The sequence below is a fragment of the Homo sapiens genome, chromosome 22 (genome assembly GCF_000001405.40).
Source record: "Homo sapiens chromosome 22, GRCh38.p14 Primary Assembly".
Classification (NCBI taxonomy): domain Eukaryota; kingdom Metazoa; phylum Chordata; class Mammalia; order Primates; family Hominidae; genus Homo; species Homo sapiens.
Window position 1 is genome coordinate 27,011,739 of NC_000022.11, and position 20,742 is coordinate 27,032,480.

General features: G+C 44.8%; 2 annotated features.

Moving 5' to 3' along the window:
* Positions 7,761-8,960: an enhancer, noted in NCBI's record as "P300/CBP strongly-dependent group 1 enhancer chr22:27415462-27416661 (GRCh37/hg19 assembly coordinates)". NCBI's record gives its function as "activates an origin of replication core promoter dependent on BRD2, BRD4, P300/CBP, MED14 and CDK7 cofactors, with strong dependence on P300/CBP, by STARR-seq in HCT116 cells {active_cell/tissue: HCT116}" and the evidence as "EXISTENCE:reporter gene assay evidence [ECO:0000049][PMID:35650434]".
* Positions 20,448-20,742: a silencer, noted in NCBI's record as "tiled region #1002; K562 Repressive non-DNase unmatched - State 13:Ctcf". NCBI's record gives its function as "represses a minimal TATA promoter and a strong SV40 promoter by Sharpr-MPRA in K562 cells {active_cell/tissue: K562}" and the evidence as "EXISTENCE:reporter gene assay evidence [ECO:0000049][PMID:27701403]".

Sequence of the window (20,742 nt, forward strand, 5' to 3'; positions counted from 1 at the left end):
CTGCCTCAGGGCCTTTGAACATGCTGATCCTGTTGCAGGCAGCTCTATTCCCTTGTCTTTCCCTGACTGTCTACTGTGGGTCGGTCAGCTCTCAGTTTCTCCATCACCTCCCCCGGGAGGCCTTCTCTGATCACTGCCTGATGCCAGCCTGGCTTCTATGCTTACCCAATACCACAGTGTGGAGAAATGGACAGTCCACAGCTGTTCCTGACAGCAACCCCAAAGGGATGCCCCACAGAGGAGTAAAGCAACTGTGCATGGCTAGAGTTCAGGGGAAGGAACGTTCCCTGGGGCTAGGCCAGAATGGGAAGGCTTCTGGAGGAGGTGGCCTCAGAACCATAAAGGATGGGTAGGTACTGGATAAGCTGAGAGGAACTAGGGGGACACTGGTCCTGAGGGAACCTCGATGCGTGAGTGTGGAGGCTGGAAAGCCAAGGCTATTTCCTTGCCTGTAAAATGAGGCCAATAATCACACCTGCTTTACAGAATTGCTGGGGGGATCTAATGCATGGTATGCGCCAGGTAGGAAGTGCCCAGTAGATGTCAGAGAGGATGAAGATGATGGTGGGTGGGGAGCCTTGATCATTCCAGTGCGGCTGGAATGGGTTGGGTAGGGAGGGGGCTTGTGGGAGAGAACCAGAGAGGGTGCTTGGACTTTGAGGCAATGCAAAGGCATGGAAGGGGTTGGGGCGGGGCAGGGCAGGGGATGTGGAATACGGGCTCTTTGGGGAGTCTGTCTGCAAGGCGAGGTTAGAAGCAGGAGCACAGGGAGAAAATGTGGCAGCCAAGGTTCTGGCAGGAAACAGGTGGAATCTTTCGACGGGAATTTGAAGAGTAGTATTAAAGGGATTATTTACAAATGTGGGGACAGGATGTAGGGATATCAGAGAGCAGGGGCAGCACTGGGGTTAGTCATAGCAGGAAGCTGTTACTACCTCTAAGCGCAAATGGGCAAGGGAGGTGAGAGGTTCCCAGAACCACAGGATAGGGAGGGTGAGTGATGGGAACCTGCGGACAGGAGCTGTGGACCTCAGTGGTGGGGACCAGCCTGCTCGAGGGACTTCCCTCATAGGAAGCCTTCAACCTTACTTCTGTCATCTCCTGCTGGTCCTTGCTGTTGGCTTAACACAACAAGAAACCCTTGATGCATGCACAGGTGGACCTCCAGGGCAGAGAGTGGGGTGGAGAAGGGTGCAGAGTAGGGCAGATGGGCTGATGGAAAAATTGCCAGCACTGACTAGATAGGAAGGCCAGAGTGTGTGAAGTGTGTGTGTGAGATTATGTGTGTATGTGTACTTGTGCACATGAGTGTAAGAGAGAGTCTATATGTGTTCATTTATATGTGAGTGTATATGTGTGAAAGGGTGTACATACGCGTGTACATGTGAGTGTGTGTAAGTGTGTGTATGAGAGACTGTGCACAGAGTACATGAGTGTGTATGTATATGTGTACATAAGAGAGGGTATGCAGGGGAGGGAGAGTGTGTATGTGTGTGAGAGATGGAGTGTGTGTGGGTACATTTGTGTACGTGTGTATGGGAGAGTGTGTGTATGCGTAAGAGTGTGGATATGTGTGTGCACGAGTGTGACAGGGATAGAGTTGTGTATATGTACATGAGAAAGATGGAGTGTGTGTACATGTGTACATGCATATATGAATGTGAAAGTGTCCATGTGCATATGTGTGTACATGTTCTTATGAGAGTGTGTACATGTGTGGACAAATATACATAAGTGTGTGATTGTGTACGTGTGTGCACAATATACATGCGAGTGTGTTTGTGAGAGAATATGTACATATGTATACAAGCATGGATATGTGTGCATATGCATGTGTGTGAGAGGGAGTATGCACATATGTGCACACATGTACATGTATATGTGTGTATGAATTCACATGAGTGTATGTACATGGGTCTGCATGTGTCTATGTGAGAATGTGTGCACATATATGTGTGTGAGAGAGGAACGGGAGAGAGAGAGAGAGAGAGTGTGTGTGTGTGTGTGTGTGTGTGTGTGTTGGGGAATGAGGGAGACAGTGGCTGGGGAATGTAGAAGTTCTCTATCACCTGGCCAGGTTATAAAAAGTGAAGGTCTCAGGTGTGAAATAAAACAACCACCTTGGTCACAGGCTTCCACAATTTTTGGTAATTATGCAGATGCTGCAAAGATGCCTACTACTAGAAGCCTTCTTCCTACGTGCTGTGCACCTCACGTGCATGTGACACTCACCACCTTCACAGTGGGTATTGCTTTCCCCCTTTACAATGAGGCACCGAGAGGTGAAATGACTTCTCCAGGGTCACAGAATTAGTAAGTGGCAGCACCAGAACCCAAACTCAGGTCAGCCCCACTGCAGCACCCCCAATGGCACAGTGCCTTCAAGACACTGTCGAGGCCATGCCCTGGCTTTCTAGATGGGGAAAATGCTCTGAGTCAGGAGGGGCTGTGACTGGGAGCTAGAGCCCACAGTCTCCAGCCTGCAGTTCCTCTATCCCCTGGGTGGGTCACCACCATCACCCCACGGCCCGCATGGATACCAGCTTTATTCCCTGAGAAAGAGCCACTTGTTTCTCACAAATAAAATACTGTAGGAGTGTTGCTGGGTGACTCTCAAGGCAAGATTGAATTGGTGCTGTAGTTTCTGCTCCAGCTCTCCCTGAGGACACGCATCTTTGGGCCCTGAGGCTGCCATGTGACATGTTTGTGGCCCTGAAGCTGCCATGCTGGGAAGACCATGTGGCGAGAGGGCATGGAGACAGAGATGCCCATGGATCCCTACTGTCCCAACCACCAGCTGTTGTATCTGCCCAGCTCAGGCACCAGGCATGGAAGTGAAGAAACTTTGAAGGTATCCCCATTCTGGCCACCATCTGACTGCCATCTCAAGAGAGATTCCAAGCCAGCACCACCCAGCAGGGCTATTTCCAAATTCTAAATCCCCAGAAACCATGAGAAATAGTGAGTAGTTGTTATTTCGGGCAACCAAATTGTGGGATTATTTGTTATGCAGCAGTACTTAACTGATACATGGCTGAAGATTCCTGCTGTCTTCTCTTTATTTGGCATAACACCCCATTTCTTACACAGGGAATCTGTTCTGAACCCAGATACCCTTTTCTGACAGTGGAAACTTCCAATTATTGGCCAGTTGGTGCATGTTGGGCTCTGTGCTTAAAGCTAGTATGGTACATACATGATTTCCTTAATCTTCTTAACAACCACACAAAGAAGATAGCATTATTTTCATTTTACGGATGAGAAAACTGAGGCTCAGAGTAGTGGAATGATGCTCCCAACTTAAAGATGGGCCCAGTGGCCTCAAACCTGAGCATTTTCCCTGAGCTAGTCTGAACTGAGCTAGCCAGGGGGTCAGGTCGTGGTCTTATCCCTGGACATTACAGGCTTCTGGGACAGGTAGCCAGGCAAAGCAGGGTATGAGGCTGGGTTGGAGGCCTGGTCTGAAGAGCAGGTCAGAGGAGGGGAGAGTAATTCTGCTACAAGGGGCTTCCTTAGCGCCAGTGACCCAAGATAGATTGACGATAGCCTTCCATACCATCCTGACCTTCTGGAAGTGTGGAGACTGCTGTCTTACCCTGCTCAGGGAAGACTGGTGTGGCGCCAATATACTGTGGATGCGGCCCCCGTGAATGTGCTGTCTGCAGCTCCCTCTTCATCTGAGGCTAAGCCCAGGTGCTCTCACAGAGGCCCCTGATGCCCCAAAACGTGCCAGGCTCTGCCCATCAAAGCAGATAGCATCATCTCACTACCCCAAGGCTCCATCTTGCAGCCCATTCTCGGTCCAAGCTTCCAATAGATAATGATACTTCATTTAGACCAGTTTCCTGTTCATTTTAAAAAGATTTACTTAACAATTAAGCATTTATTACCTTTCTCTTTATGAGAACAAGGCAAGCACATTATAGAAAATGTGCAGGAAAAATTCCTCTCCATCCATTCAACAAACATTTCTCATGCACCCACTGTATGTCAGTGCTGTGTCAGATGCCAAGGACATAGAGGTGAGAAAACTATCATGTCATTCCCACTCCACTGACTCACACATCATGGAATTGGGGGAAGAACATCTTAAAAATCTCTTTCTACCTCCCAGAGAAAGGGACCATTCACATTTTGCCGTATTGCCTCCAGGAACGTTTCCCCATAAAATTTCTATGTATACATATAAATATATATATATATCTATAAATAATATATATCTTTGAAATATAACCTCCTACCATACATGTTACTCTGTAACTTGGTTTTTTTAGTTGTAGTTTTTTTTCACTTACGAACTGATTGTCAACATTATGTCACATCAATACATTTTCTACAATATCACTAACTACCTAGGGGAGGTGGGAGAAATTTCCCCAGTGCTCAATTATCCAGCGTCAGATATTTCTGTTCTTGAAAAGAATAATAAGGACAAGTGAGGTTGTGGGTAGGAGCAGAGTGAGAGAGAGGCCCAAATCAGTATTTGCTACCCCTCAAGATGCATCCCCTCCTATTCAGAAGAGTCTGCTTGCCTCCACCACCACCCAAAGGCTAGACCTGTTCTGTCAAGGTGGGAGGTGTTAACACTCTTCTGGGGATGTTTCTGTTTTAAGGAGGGATTTTTTTAAAGCAGAGAACATAAATACCCCTGGGGTAGATAACCCACCCCAAGTAGGCAGCTGCCTGTGTTACCAGCTAGGTCCTGCAGAGTCCAGCCCTGAAGGCAGTGATCTGAGAAGCAGGACCAATGAGAATCAAAGCTGGAAGGGGACTTGGTTAGCTCCAGGGCAAACCTGCCCATTTTAGAGATGGGGCCACTGGGACCCAGAGAAGCTCACACACTACCTGAACAAGACCAGAAGCAGGTCTCCAGCCTCCAACTCATCAGTCTTTCCCAGGTTGATTAGGGTGGAGGAGTTTCTCCTTTGAACGTAGGAACAAGTCATCTTTACATGAGTATTTTGGAAACTTCCAGCACACATGGAAGACCAAGACAGGCACGTTGCAGGAAGAATAGATCGCTGGAAGCTATGAACCAATGGGGGAGATGGAATGGAAAAAGACCAATTGCATCGTCCAAAAGCCATTTGACTCAAGGGCTGCTGTCTCCCTGGTTGGAAGGGCTCACTAGGGGAGGGAAGTATGTGTCCCCCTGGGAAAGGCACCTGCAAAGTGCTCTCCTTTCTACTCTCCACACAAATGTGGTGCAGTGAAGCCACCAGCCCTGGAATCTACAACTTGAGTGCAGATCCAAGATCTGAAGCTTCCTGGCTGTGTGACCTTAGGCAAGTAACTTCACCTCTCTGAGTCTCAGTTTTACCATCTATAAAACAGGGCTGATAATGCCTCCCCAGCAAGATAGTGGGAAGCTTGCAGATAAAGTATGTTAAATGCCTTACATGTGGGAAGGGTTCAATTAAAGTTATCTGTGGTAGAGTTAACCCCTAAGAGGCTGTGCATCTTATTTTTACGCTTTATAAAAACACAACAGGGGGCATCAGGTGCCTTGAATTCTCATCTCAGCTCCTGTGTGACCCTGGACAAGTTAGCTAACCTCTCGGGCTCTTAGTTTTCTTATCTGCGAAATGGGAATAATAATAGAATTGACTTTGCAGGGTTGGGATATGGAATAATTAAGATAATTACTATACACAAAGAACTTAGCTAAATACCAGACGTGTAGATGGAGTGTAGTTCATGCTAGCTGTTATCATTATTAGCAGTGGTATTTTAATTATTACTACCCTTTGGAAACATGGAAGACCTTTCTCTGTTAGCTATTCTCCCCATCCCTTAATCTATGTCCCAGGAGGGGAACTGTTATGGGAAATACATTCATTGGGCATCTACTATGTGGCTGTTATGGGGCAGGTAATTACACATGCTGTATTTCAGGTAATTTTTCTGAAGTCTTCTGAAGTAGAGTATTGTCCCCAACACCATTAGTATCTATGGAGAGAAATTAGAAGCAGGTGAAGAGATTGGCCCAAAGTTACAGACTGACAAAATAGACAGGCTGGGATTTGAACACAGATCTGCCTGAATCCAAAATCTTAACCCTTCCTTCTCCACCAGACTCACCCGTGTCTTTCTCCAATTGCCCCCCTCAGCAGTTTCCTAAAAATCCATTACTCACGTTATTCCTAGAAACTATGGTTCCCTCTCTTGGCTTGTGCTTCATATTGTAACTAATGGTTTACTCATTTTTGCCTTCATTTATTACATTTATCAAGGATCTACTATCCATCAGGAGCAACTGCTTCATTTACTCAATTGCTCAATGGGCATGAAACATAATAGTGATGCCCTACATTTGTACAGTCCGTTATATGTTGTATAGTGTTATTACATAAATGATCTCATTTCACCCTCATGACAGCCTTCTGAGATTAGAATTATTTTACAGATGAGGAAACTGAGGCTATGATATGTAAAATAGTTTGTTTTAGGTCATTCAACTTGTATGTGATGGAGTGAAGACATCAACCAGATGTTTTTAGTTTGATTTGGGAGCCCTTTCAGCCATGCTAGTAAGCACCTGTTATAACCATCCATCCATCCATCCATCCATGCATCCATCCATCCATCCCCCCTTGTACCCATCCATCCTTCTATTCACTCACACATATATCCGTCCACCCACCCTTCCACCCATCCTCCAATCCTCCCATTCTTCCACCTACCCACTCATCCATCCATCCTTCCATTCATTTATTCATCTACCTATCCATCCATTCACCCATCCACCCAACCATTCTTCCACTCACCCACTCACTCACTCACTTACTCACTCACACATCCATCCATCAACCCCCACATCCATTCTTCCATCTATTCACCCATCTACACATTCATCCTTCTACTCACCCACTCATATATATATCCATCTGTTCACCCATCTACACAACCATTCTTCCATCCATCCATCCATCCATCCATCCTTCCATGCACTTATTCATCTATCTATCCATCCATTCACCCGTCCACCCAACCTTTCTTCCACTCACCCACTCATGTATCCATCCATCCACCCCCCCATCCATTCTTCCATCTATTCACCCATCTACACATTCATCCTTCTACTCACCCACTCATATATCCCTTCATCTATTCACTCATCTACACATCCATTCTTCCATCCATCCATCCATCCATTGTAAAGCAGGGATTGCAAGGCAGGTAAGACATAGTCCATGTTTTCAATGGTCTTTCTTTCTAGGTTTGTGCTGTCCAATGTGGTAGACATTTGTGACTATTTAAATCTAAATGTATATTAATTATAGTTAAATAAAATGTAAAATGTGGTTTCTCAGTCACATCAGTCACACTGCAAGGGTTCCACATGAAACTGGTGGCTCCCATATTGGACAGCTCAGATATGCAAAGTTTCCGTCATCACAGAAAGTTCTATTAGAAACAGTGCTGCTCTAGAGGCAGAAGCTGAAAGATATACAATTATGAAAGCATAAGGCAGGTGGTGAGAACTTCTGTGAAGTATGTAAAGAGCTACAAATACAATCAACCACAGGACAACAGCAACAGCCACGGTTGCTTGTTGGTTAAGAACTTTATAATTTGCAAAATCCAGGGGCACCCATTTGCTGTTTGAACACTTTGCTAAATGGGAATTTTAAATATATTTTACAGATAAGGAAATTGAATATCATAGAGATAAAGAGACAAACACGGGGGAGTTTGGGAATTATTTTTTTCCTTCCTTCCTTCCTTCCTTCCTTCTTTCCTTCCTTTCTTTCTTTCTCTTTCTTTCTTTCTTTCTTTCTTTCTTTCTTTCTTTCTTTCTTTCTTTCTCTTTCTTTCTTTCTTTCTTTCTCTCTTTCTTCTTTCTTTCTTTCTCTCTCCCTCCTCTCTCTTTCTTTCCTTCTTTCTTTCTCTCTTTCCTTCCTTCCTTCCTTCCTTCCTTCCTTCCTTCCTTCCTTTCTTCTTTCTTTCTCTTTCTTTCTTTCTTTCTTTCTTTCTTTCTTTCTTTCTTTCTTTCTTTCTTTCTTTCTTTCTTTCCCTCCTTGGAGTTTGCAGAAGGAAAATATCTTTCAGGGCTCTATTTTCTCTTGATCGGAAAATGCCCAGCACCAAAACACACCTCCCTTGGCATCCTGTCATTTTTCTTTTAAAATTTCTTAGCTATGATGAATCTGATGCAGCCAGCTTCATGGCTTCTGGCTTCTCTCCTTTCAGTCTGACCCAACAGTAGCTACCAGAGAGGTCTCCCTAAAAGGCAAAAAGACCAAGCCTTTCTCCTGCTTAGAACCTTCCCTGGCTTCCCATTCCTTTTAGGGTAAAGTGCAAACTGCACACCGTGATCCAGGCCCTGCTGACTCACCTGCTGAGAATCCCCTCATTCTTCGACACTTGGGTTAGTTCTTTAGGGCTGTCATTCCACAGGTCGCTTTATGCTCCTTACCATATAGTATCCCTTTGCCCCGACACCCTTCTGGCTCTTGACTGCCTGATGGACTTCTAGTCTTTTTCCACCACTGCTCTCAAATATGCAGAGCTGCATCTAGTCATATACCTGTATGTGATGGAGAGAAGCAGAAAGAGAGGTGGGGGGAGAGAGAATGGGAGGGAGATAGGGAGGCAGACAGAGAAGAGAGGATAGGAGGGGAAAGAAAGGGAGGAAGACAAAGGGGCGAAGAGAAAGACAGAAGAGGGGAGAGGAGGAGAGGGGAGGGGATAAGAGGGATAAAGAAAGAGAGGAAGAGACAAGCAGAGAGAGATGGGAAGGCTGAGAGAGAGAGTAAGGGAAGAGAGGGGAGGTGAGGGGAAAGGAAAGAAGGGAAGGAGAGAGGAGACAGATGGGGAGGAAGAGAGGAAAATAGAAGGAGATATCTAAAACGATATTTGCCCCCCACCAAATGTTAAGTGATTATCCTTGGGGGGAAGAACTTTGGAAGTTACACTTTCAATTTTGTATTTTAAAATTGTGTGTATTTTTAGTCCACTTACAGATACACTTTTTCCAAACAGCATACAACGACAAGAAAGTAACATTCAAATATTACCAGGTCACTTCAGCTGTGAATTCTTTTCAGGACCCCCCTTTTTTCTTCCAGAATTATGCACATCTTCCCTTCCACCCACCTGCCCCAAATGGAGGGGTGTAGCTGGCCACCTGGGAGTTGTTGAAAGACAGGAAGATCAGTGCCTTATCTTCCTGGTCTCCAGTGTTCTGCACCGAACCCGGCCAGGACAGGCCGGGCCTTGTAAATATTGGTTTAATGACCAGACGCTGGAAACTCATTATAACACCATGCATTGTCCAGGTTAAATAATGGAAAGGATTATTACAGCAATGATGCTGCAATATACTCTCAATTAGCCATGGCAATGAGGAGCACGGGGACAGCTCATGCCACTAAGCTGGGGATCATCAAAAGGCAATTTTCCCTTCTGTGGACCACCATGCCCTCTTTGTGTTTTAGTTATTGGTGATTCCCTATGAATACACCATCCCCCACACCCACATCCATACACCTTTTTTCTTTTTCTTTTTAGGGCAGGGGCACTGACTCAAATCTCAATCATATCTGGTTGGAGTTGATCACAAAACCAGCTAGTTTCTTAACACAGGTGATGAACCGCCAGTGAGCAGCTGTTCTCAAAGCGTGGGCCCCGTATTTGCAACCTCGGCATTGCTGCCTGAGAACTTGTTAGTAAGGCACATTTTGAGGTCCACCTCTGAATCAGAATCTTTAGGTTGGTGTTCAGAAATCTACACTCCCATGAGTTTTTCAGGCGATTCTGATGCATGCTCAAGCTTCAGGATCATTGGCCCGAAAGGGGACTCAGTTGCTTGGGTTCCATTTCTGGCTGTGCTGCTTGTTGGCTGTCCCACCTCTGGCAAGTCCCCTCACCTCTTCATGTCTCTGCGTCCTCACCTGTAATATGGGTACATCCACAGTGCCCATCTCATAGGATGTGTCAGGATGGGTGAAGAGCAGTCAAACAGCACTCACACTTAGTCCCAGCAGATGCTACCTGGTACCATATTTCATGGAGTAGAAGCTGCCTTTGATCATCAGACTCATCCAGAATTCACATAGTAAGTGTAGGGCATAAGTTTTCCTTAAAACAGTATTTCTCAAACTTCAGCGTACACACAAATCACCTGGGAATGTTGTTAAAAGGCAGACTCCAATTCAGCAGGGCTGAGGCCAGAGACGCTGCATTCTTAGCAAGCTCTCATGTGGGAGGATGCTGCTGGTCCCTGGACCACATTTTTGTTGTATGGGTTGGATCCAGAACCAGCACCTTTGTGTACGGATTGGATCTCACAGTGGGCTCACATGATGTGCTGGCAATGGTCATGGACTGGTCCTGGGACAGGGTGGTGGAACAGGATGTAGTTCATTTTGCTCATTCTTCTCTGGCCAAAGGACAGCAAGGATTGACATAAGAACTGGAGACATGGTTTGAGCTCCTTGTAAGCCCACTCACTGGCCTAAAGGAAGCCCTTTGATCTCAGCATCCTTATCTGCCAAATAGACCACTCAATGCCCACCAAGTCCATTCTAAGGGCAAGTGGGGAAAATCAAATACCCATGTTCTCAGTGAGTGAATTAATGACATATCTTTCCTTGGGACCATGGTTTTTCCAGAGTTTAAAAATAATGAAATGATGTGGATATTTAAAGGCATCAGGACAAGGCATTGCTGGTGAAGTTGGCTAATTATTACATTACCATATGATCATCATCGGTGTGAGTCATAAGCCCTGCACTCTGATTCTCTTCTGAGCACCAGCCCTAGGAATGGCCAGTCCTTACAATCACCCTGGAATTCTGACAGTTCCAGGGGACACCTGTCAGGCCACCCTCCTGGGTGGGCTTAGCATACTGAGGGCCATGCAGAGGGAGACCCGGTTGTATCCTCAAAGCCTCATTACTACAACCATCGTCTTTGCAGCCACTCTGATTTCAAGGCACTGCTCACTTCCTAGGGGACATGACAGGGCTGGAGAGAGAAGGGGTCATGCACCGCTCAGTTCCAGAATGAACAAAGAACACTTATGAGGGAGAGAAAAAATGCCTCTTGACCGCCCCCAGCATATGTATGCACAAATACACACACAAACACACACATACACACATGCATGCACATGCACACACATACACGTGCACGCACACGCATACACACACACACACACACACACACACAGGCTGCCCCAGCCTGCATGTCACCATCAATCAGCGCCTTCCCACTTGCCGTTTGCAGGCAGAGTTCCCCACAGATGTGCTCGGGGGGCTGGGAGAAGGAGAAGAAGGTGGAGCTGGGGCTAGGGAGGGAGGGAGGCAGAGATGTCCTCAAAGAGTTAAAACCTTGCCTCACCAGACTGCGAATCCTCCTCGACTCTCCCCCACCCCCATCCCCCTCAATCCAGCCAAACAACAGCTTGACATTTTCCATCCTTCACGAGAAAGACAAAGACGGGAAGATATTCCCATGATCCCTTTCTGCATGCCTAACCGTGAGCTCAGGTGCCGTAGCGTTTGCCCTGCGCCGGCCCCATCAACATGAAGGGCGAACTCATCCTTTCTGCATCTTTTTCTCGCCACTGCTTGATTAATTGGCTGACTACTACGCCGGCGGAATACCTAATGCTTTTCCTTCCCCTATTCTTCCTTCACAGTTTTTTTTTCCTCCTTTGCTCCATTTACATATACTTTATATTCCATAATTTTCACCCAAAAAGAAAAAAAAAAAAGAGCGGGCCCATCTCAGTAATTTGATGTAATGACGGCATGTCACCAAAAAGAGGAATTAGAAAAATCTGTAGGTATTTAATTTATTCTTGTTTTTTTTTTTTTTTTTGAAGTAGAGCTCTCTGAGAAAAGCATTAATATTCATGGGCAAGAGAAAAAAGTATACTCAATAGGAAAATTCCAGATTTTTTAGGGGTGGGGAGGCAGCTACATTCAATGCATTTTTAAGCACCATTATTTAACTAATAGTGCCTGAGTCCCTCTGGCCCTAGTTCCTCCCTTTCAATGAAAATAAGTGGGTTTTAGTTTGCCTTCAAGGGTTGTGTGTGTTGGGCTCACACCCACGCTGTTGAAGCAGGAAAGCTGGGCTCTGTGCTTTCCTCCCCTCCTGGGAGGACTCAAATGAAGAAGAAAAACATAAATAAAGGCCTTTCAGAGTCCCAGGGCTGGAGTTTTGGTTCTCCTTCAGCCTCCCCTGTTGGCTGTCATAGTTTTCTGATGGCTCTACAGACAGAACAATTTCCTTGAGGTTTCCCACTAGACCAACCCCTTCCTGTTAACTTGGGTTTGGGTTTTATGCTATTAATTAACTACTTACTTATCAAAATAAGTGTTGAGTTATACCATAATCATGATCGTTACCAATGAAGCAGGAAATAAAATAATGAAGCATCAGACCGATGCCATAAATATGAGACCTGAGACCTGGAATGGGAGCAGTTTTTCTCTCTCCAAGGCAGGTCTTTCCAAAGGGTCCCAGGGTGTGTGGCTCTCCTAGTAACAGTGGTAAGTTTGAGGCATCTGAGGATTTGACTCAGTCTAGTAGGAAGATGAGTTCTCAGCCATGGGGACCCAAATGCCCACCCTCATCTTAATCAGTGGGATCGGAAACATGTATGAGTTTATGGGCCCTGAGTCTAAATTATTTGCCAATTGTGATCATAAAAATTATTATTAGCATAATGATTATAATAAGCAATTCTATGTACTATTATTTTTCTTTATTTTTAAATGGGGTTATAACTTACATTAAGCTGCACGAATCTTATGTGCAGCTTGATGAATATTTTACCCATGTTTGTACTTTACCCAGATCAATATATAGAACATTTCCAACACCCTAGAAGGATTTCTTGTGCCACCCAAGTCAAAGCATACCTCCTCAAAGATGGCCACTCTTCTGACTTCAGGCACATAGATTCATTTTGCCGGTTCTTGAACTTTAAACAGATGGAATTATACAGCATATACTATTTTGTGTTGAGGCTTTTTCTCAAAAACAAAGTTTTGGGGACTGATCCATGTTGCTACGTGTCGCGGTAGTTCATTGTTATCATTGTTGTGCAATATTCCAATGCATAAACACATTAGAATTCAATTATCCATTTTCCTGTGGATGGTTATTTGGACTCTCTCCAGTTTGGGCTATTTTGAGTCAAGTGGGCATGAAACTCTCTTCTACGCCTTTGGGGTAATAGAAGTTCTCATTTCTCCTTGGAATATACCCAGGAATGGGATATTTGGTCACAGGGTAAATAGACCTGTAGCTTTAGTAGAAACTGCCAGTTTTCAAAATGGTTGCACCAATTTACACTTCCACCAACGGTGCCTGGGGTTTCAGTTGCTCTGTATCTTCACCAACTCTTGGGATCATTGTCATTTCTTTTACCTTTAGCTATTGTTATGGGTGTAGGAGGGGCAAGAAGGAACCTTGTCAGAAACCAAGCAAGGAGAAAACAAAGGATGCTTACTCAGCAAGACACAGAGAAACAGAATCAGAGACACACACACAGAGAGAAATAGGAAAACAGCCAGGAAAAACCAGAGAAATACAGGTGGAAATGAAGACAGAGGAATGCTTTGAGAGCCAGGTAAATGGATGGGGAAAGGGGCCCAGAAAAGAGAAAAAGAAGAGAGAAAAATAAAATGGAAAAGGTGAAGTTGAAACGGAAAGAGGAAAGGTTGATAGAAGAGAGAAAAGCAGGCAAGAGAAGGGAGGAGAGAATGAACAACCCTGGGTGACCGGCCAGGGGAGCAGGGCAAGTGCAGAAATTGGTCTCTTGGTATTTTATGAAACATGGCCCTTTCTTTCTTTCTTTTTTTTTAAAGGGCTTCTTGATATTTTTATGTTTATATGTTTTAACTTGGGCCCAACCTCATGGAAAATGCATGAGAAATAAGTGGTTTCTAGGAATGTTTTATACATGGCCAGGGAGTTGTAAGGATGCAGAGGTGGGCAGAAGAGAGGGAGGGTGTGGACAGCCCCTTCCTTGGGTCTCTCTGGCAGGGCTTGGCTGTGGGCTGTGGGCAGGTGCTCTCAAGGTTGTGTAGAAGGTAGCCCAGGGTGGCAGACAGCAGGTGCACCCAGGATCTGCTCCAACCGTGTGACTTTGGGCAATCCACATCCTCTGCTCTTAGCCTCAGTTTCCTCCTCTGCAATATGGGATGCTAGCATTGCCAGTTTTGCAGAAGAGGGGGGCTCTTAATCTGATCCAGGGCCGGGTGGGGACCACAGGGCTCTAGGAAATCTTAAGCAATCAGCGGTTTAAAGCAGAGGATGAAATGCAAAAGACTGTCTCTGAAATCAACAGAGGACTCAAGAAAGCTTCCTGATGCATCTACCCGGTAAAAACTTTCCTAGTGTGAGGTTCTTGATATAGGCCCCATCTATTCCCATGCTTTGCTGCCACCATCCAGGAGCCCCGTCCTCAAGGACTCTGTTTTTCCAACATGCCACATAACATTGCATCCCTTGTCACTGGACACACTGTTGCTGTAAGTTGAAATGCCTCCTTATCCAGTAAGACAGTGCTTCTTAAAATCCCTGTGGAGGAGCAGAGACTAAAATCCATTTTACCAACCAGATGGGAAATTGTACACCCTTTCCCAAGGAAAACAATGCACATTCTCACCGTCTTGTTTACAACGTCAATGGTTTCCCTGGCCTCAATAGTCCCATCTCTGAACTCTGATTTAGGAGTTTCTACTTCAAGAACTTGCTGCTAAGGTCATTGCCTTCATAGAAGCTTCTATCCAGGTTTGCCCTAAAACACCATCAGCCCCTCTCCTGAGATTGGTCTCCCTGGGACTTGGGATTTTGCTCCATCATGTTTATGTGTCATCTGTTCATGTGTCTTTCTCCTCCACTAGCAGAGGAGGGTTTGTGCCTGTCTCTGCATCCCTGAAGCCCAGCACAGGAACTGGCCCAGGGGAGGCCCTCAGGAAACATCAAATGCATTTGTAGACATGTCTCTTTTGGCCTTCATGGTCAGAGTTTTGCAGTAACTGCAAAGGCAGAAAGGGAGCCTTTTAGAGATTCCCTTCTTGAAGCTGGACCTTGTCTCTTTGCAAGGATGAAGGCATCCTCCAGTGGAAGGGTGGGTTTGTGTAGGGAAACCAAGGCCTCCACAAAGCCTAACACACTCAGTCCCGAGAAGCAGGAAGCCTCCCAACACCATGAGCATACTTTATGCTAAAATTGGCAGAGGCAGCTGCCAGTACAATGGAGGAAGTAAACTGTAAGAAGTAAGGAGTGGGTTCCCATTCCAGCTCTGTCACTGTCTCCTGTGTGACCTTGGGCAGGTCTCTTTCCCTCTATGGGCCTCAGTTTCCTCATCTGTATATTGGGGTGGAGTGAGAAAGGATTTGGGATCTTCAAGGTTCCCCCCAACTCTGAGAGTCTATGAGCTCTGAAGATGCTCTTCAGGAAGGCTGTGATTTATATCACAGACGTGCAGGAGAGAAACAGTTGCAGAGGAGTCAATTTTTCTCTTGTAAACGGGATCTTTTTTAGAGGCCTCCAGGGAGAAAGAAAGGGACAAACATTTCTAGAAGGCCTACGATGAGGCAGAAGACACCGTGTAAACCTGGTCTTGTTTAGCTCCTTACGCTAAAGTTTATTTACCTTGCAAATGTATTATATGACTAAAATTTAAAAATAAAACAATAATAGGTTGATGTTTTGTCTCAAAAAAAGGAACCACATGATCCTGAGGAAAATGTGGAAAATAAAAAAAAATAGGAAGTAAAGGGACAAATAATCCATTCATTCAACAGGAATTTATTGAATACGCACTATGTGTCAATTATGATATAAAGAAACTGGGTCTTTACATAGCTTTATATATATATGTGTAAGTGTACGTATATGTATATACATATGTGTGTATGTATACATACACACGTATATATATACATATATACACACGTATATATATACATATATACACACGTATATATATACATATATACACACGTATATATATACATATATACACACGTATATATATACATATATACACACGTATATATATACATATATACACACGTATATATATACATATATACACACGTATATATATACATATATACACACGTATATATATACATATATACACATGTATATATATACATATACACACACATATATATGATTATAAGCATAGGGTCTACAATATTTAAATTCTGCAATTTAATTTACATTTCAATTCTATTCATTTTGGTGTTGTAATATAGCTAGTTCTTAATAAGCCTACCAGTTACAAGTCAGCTTTCTTTTTTCTGATTATAAAAATAACACACATCTTTACTGAAAAATATGTGGACATTACAAGCACATAAAAAGAAAGGAATAAAGATTACTCATAATCTACCACCCATACTTTTTTCTACTTATACATTTAGACTCTCAAAGTACGTGGATATCACCTCCTTCCTTCCCCCAGGGGACCCCCTATTGCCCATTCATCAGCCCCCACCAAAGTTACACACACAATAATGTTGCATGCTACCCCAAATCAGCAATTCTGTCTATTTAAATACTGCTTTCTATTCAGCACCTTGAACAGTGCCTGGTGCACAGTAGATGTTCCATACCTCACAAATGCTCTCTATAACGGAAGCAATGACTGACAAGGGGGTCATAGAGAACACAAGGTTTTATAATACGCTTTTAACAGAAATACCACCATGCCACAAGTAGTTTCAATACTTGATCTTAGCCAAAAGGCTGCAAAGCAATTGTAAGTACTTTCTGGTATTGTGAAATATTCTGCTGTAATATAATGGATGCTGTCTTCCTTATATCCTGTCACATATAGACTAATCATAATTACTTTCCCAAGTCTCATCTTGTGGCCTTCGAAATGATGGGTTCAGAAAGATCCTGGTAGCTGTTCTCTGCACAATTTCATGATCATTTTCTTGGGATAAGTTTCCAGATGTGCAATTGGTGGGTCAAAAAGCAGGCACATGCAATGGAACATTACTCAGTTGTGAAAAGGGGTGAAGAACTGATGCATGTTACAACATGGATGTACCTGGAAGACACCACGCTAAGTGAAAGAAGCCAGACATAAAAGATCACATGATCCATCATTTGTATGATATATCCAGAATAGGTGAATCCACAAAGACAGAAAGTGGATTAGTGGTTGCCAGTGGCTGTGGGGAGGGGTAATGGGAGTGACTGCTTAAGGGGTATAGGATTTTCTTTTAGGGTGATGAGAATGCTTTGGAACTAGGTAGAGGTGATGGTAGTATGGTATCATAAATGTACAGAATGCTGTTGAAATTATTCACCTTAAAATGGTTAATTTTATGTTATGTGAATTTCACCTTAATTAAAAAAATAAACAGGCGTGACATCAAGGCCAACTTTCTGTTCCCATTTGTGTATCCATCATTAATGCTATTGAGTGCCTGTTTCCTCAAAAAATCAGATTCTATGAACCTGGCCAGTGTTGTAAGCAAAATATATTGATTATTAGTGATATCAGTGTACTTTTCTCATGGGCTAGTGGATATTAATATTCCACTGACATGCTCATATTTGCCAATCATACTGGAGTGCTGGTCTTACCGATTTCCAAGAATGCATTTCTCCATTGATGATAACCCTTGCCATGTACATCTCAATCTTCATCACCTATTTATTTTTGCCATCTAATTTTAACATAATCTTAACTTTTTAATTGTAACTGACCTACAACCAGTGACTACAACACCATCCTGTTGACTGCCTGCTAGACATTGAGCTCCTACACCCATTTTCCTCCTCCTCATAGAGTCCAAGTCCACCATCTGTGTCCTGGAGCCAGCCCTGCCTCCAGTCTCAGAGAGCAGGCCCTGACTGACCAATCCAATTACAGCCACTTTATTTATCTTCTCAAGATTGGTTAAGACCTGGACATATGGCACGATCACAGGCCATGAGATATAAAGAAATTTTGCTGGGTGCCCCTGGGAAACTTTGTTTGGCTTTTACAAAGAGGCATTCATGAGGCAATGTCCCCATTCTTTCTCTAAATGTGGCTGGATCTGGGTGTGATGCTGGGATCTCTGCAGCCATTTTGTGTCCATGAGGAAAGTGAGCCCAGGCAATAAAGCTAACATGTAGAAAAGGACAACTGCAGGCACCTTCTCAGTGCACTCTCACTCTGGGCTTCTCATAAGGTAAGATAGTGGATGTCCTGACCCCTTCAGGCAGCTGAGTTAAGATGCCTGTTGCTTGCAGCTGAGAATGTCCTAAACCACCAACCCCATCCAGGGCAGTTGTTTCACTTTTTTTGTTTTTTAAATTTACAAACCAACTGCTTCAATAAGCACCTTCTTAAATAAAACTTTTTCCATAGTTTGATACACATCTTCAGATTGATTCCCAGAAGTGGAATTAAAAGATGACATGATATTAATTTTTTTTTTTTTTGAGAAAGAGTCTCGCTCTGTCGCCCAGGCTGGAGTGCCGTGGCGCAATCTTGGCTCACTGCAAGCTCCACCTCCCAGGTTCACGCCATTCTCCTGCCTCAGCCTCCCGAGTAGCTGAGACTATAGGTGCCTGCCGCCACACCCGGCTATTTTTTTTGTATTTTTAGTAGAGATGGGGTTTCACTGTGTTAGCCAGGATGGTCTCGATCTCCTGACCTTGTGATCTGCCTGCCTTGGCCTCCCAAAGTGCTGGGATTACAGGCATGAGCCACCACACTTGAAGTCACTTGATTCATATTTTTATTTGCTTTCCAGTTGAAGGCTCTACAGAATTAGTCTCTAAAGCTAGAAAATAAGGGGGTTGCGGGCTAGACCCCAGGTCTTCTGATATCACATCCAAAGCTAGATATGGAAAGTGAGCTGATCTTTACTTCCTTTAAATCTGAAATCATGGGTAATGGGTTCAGTTTGCCTGAATAAAGCATCCCCTGGATAGCCAAACCATGCTGCTATATGCATTTCTGTGCTTTATACTTTATTATGCAGTGTTTCAGAATGTATCTCTAAGTGTGATTGGATCTGGGGGTGATGGTGGGGCTTCTGCAGCCATTTTGTGTCCATGAGTAGAGTCAGCCCCTGAAATAACTGTCCCTGAATAGGGTTGGTGGTTCAGGATGCTCTCAGCAGCAGGTAAAATGCACCTGAACTCAGCTGCCTGAAGGATTCAGGGCAGCTTTTTTTGTTGTCGCTGTTGTTGTTTTTTAGATGAAATCTCACTCTGTCACCCAGGCTGCAGTGCAATGACGTGATCTTGGCTCACTGCAACCTTCGCCTTCTGGGTTCAAGTGATTCTCCTGTCTCAGCCTCCCGAGTAGCTGGGATTGCAGGTGTGCACCACCACGCCTGGCTAATAGTTTGTATTTTTAGTAGAGATGGAGTTTCACCACGTCAGCCGGGCTGGTCTTGAACTCCTTACCTCAAGCGACCCACCCGCCTTGGCCTCCCAAAGTGCTGGCATTATAGGCGTGAGCCACTGCGCCCGGCCAGGACAGCTATTATGTTACCTCGTGGGAAGCCCATGTAGGATTGGGACCGACATTAATGGTTGTAATTTGAGGTGGGGTGGGTCATGAGCCCCCATGATGACCTGATGAAATGTGTGAACCATCCCCCAGAAGGTGGCATGCTCACCTGTGTTGGTCTTCTAGGGCTACCATGACAGGGTGCTGTAGACCAGGGGGCTGAGAAAAAGGGAAATTTATTTGTTTACAGGCTTGGAGGCCAGAAGTTAGAGATCAAGGTATGGGCAGGGTGGGCTCCTTCTGAAGGCTGTAAGACAGCATATGTTCCAAGCCTCTCTCTTATCTGCCTGTGGTCCCACGGGTCCTTGGCTTGTAGATGGCTGTTTTCTCCCTGTATCTTTCCATCGTCTTTGTTCTATGTATGTCTGTGTCCAAATTCCCCCTTTTGATAAGGATATACCCCATGACCTTATCTTAGTTTGTTCATTGGCAAAGATCCTATTTCCAAATAAGGTCCCATTCCCAAGTTTGGGAGGTTAGGATTTCAACATCATTTTGGGGACACAATTCAACAGATAACACCATCCAAATGCATAAGCTTGCACCTAGAATGTCAGGGGTCATGAACATATTACGGTTTATCTAGAAACCTCGAGGCAGGATTTTATTTTATTCTGAACTATTCATTAGTAATAAGAATTCATGGGTAATAAGAAAGAAGTGATAGAGAAACCAAGGCCTGAAGAGGGAAGCACATGTTCTCACAGCACCCATGAGAACATGCAAGGACTGGAACCAGGACTCCTGGGCTTTCATGGAGCATCTCATCAGGATTCCAGCCTTTGCTGAGTCCAGTTCTCCGGCACTCACAGAAGCTGAGCCTTTGAATTAGACAAGCTGAAAAAGGACTGGCGAGCCAACTTCAAGGGAGACAGAGAGAAGCTGGCAGGAGCTGTGGGTCCCTGCCGGGGGACAATCCTTCCCTGCCAGGTGAAGGAGGCTAGAGCGCTGGGAGTCAGGGGCAGGAAGGTGTCAGGTCCTGGGGAGGCCAGAGCTTGTGCAAATCAATGCAGATCCTAGGAGGCGTGGGAGAGGAAGCTCGCTCTCACAGCAAACTCCTCAGGTCACAGCGGGGTGGATTCTGGCTTCAGTTCCCATTGACCATGACCCCTGGCCATTTCAGGGAGCAGCCAGGAGGGGGCGAGGAACCCTCCTCTCTGCTGCCTGTGCCAGCTGCCCGTCTATAGGAAGCCAACATGTCAGCCCTCCTGCCCACCGACGCCAGCCCAGAGGTG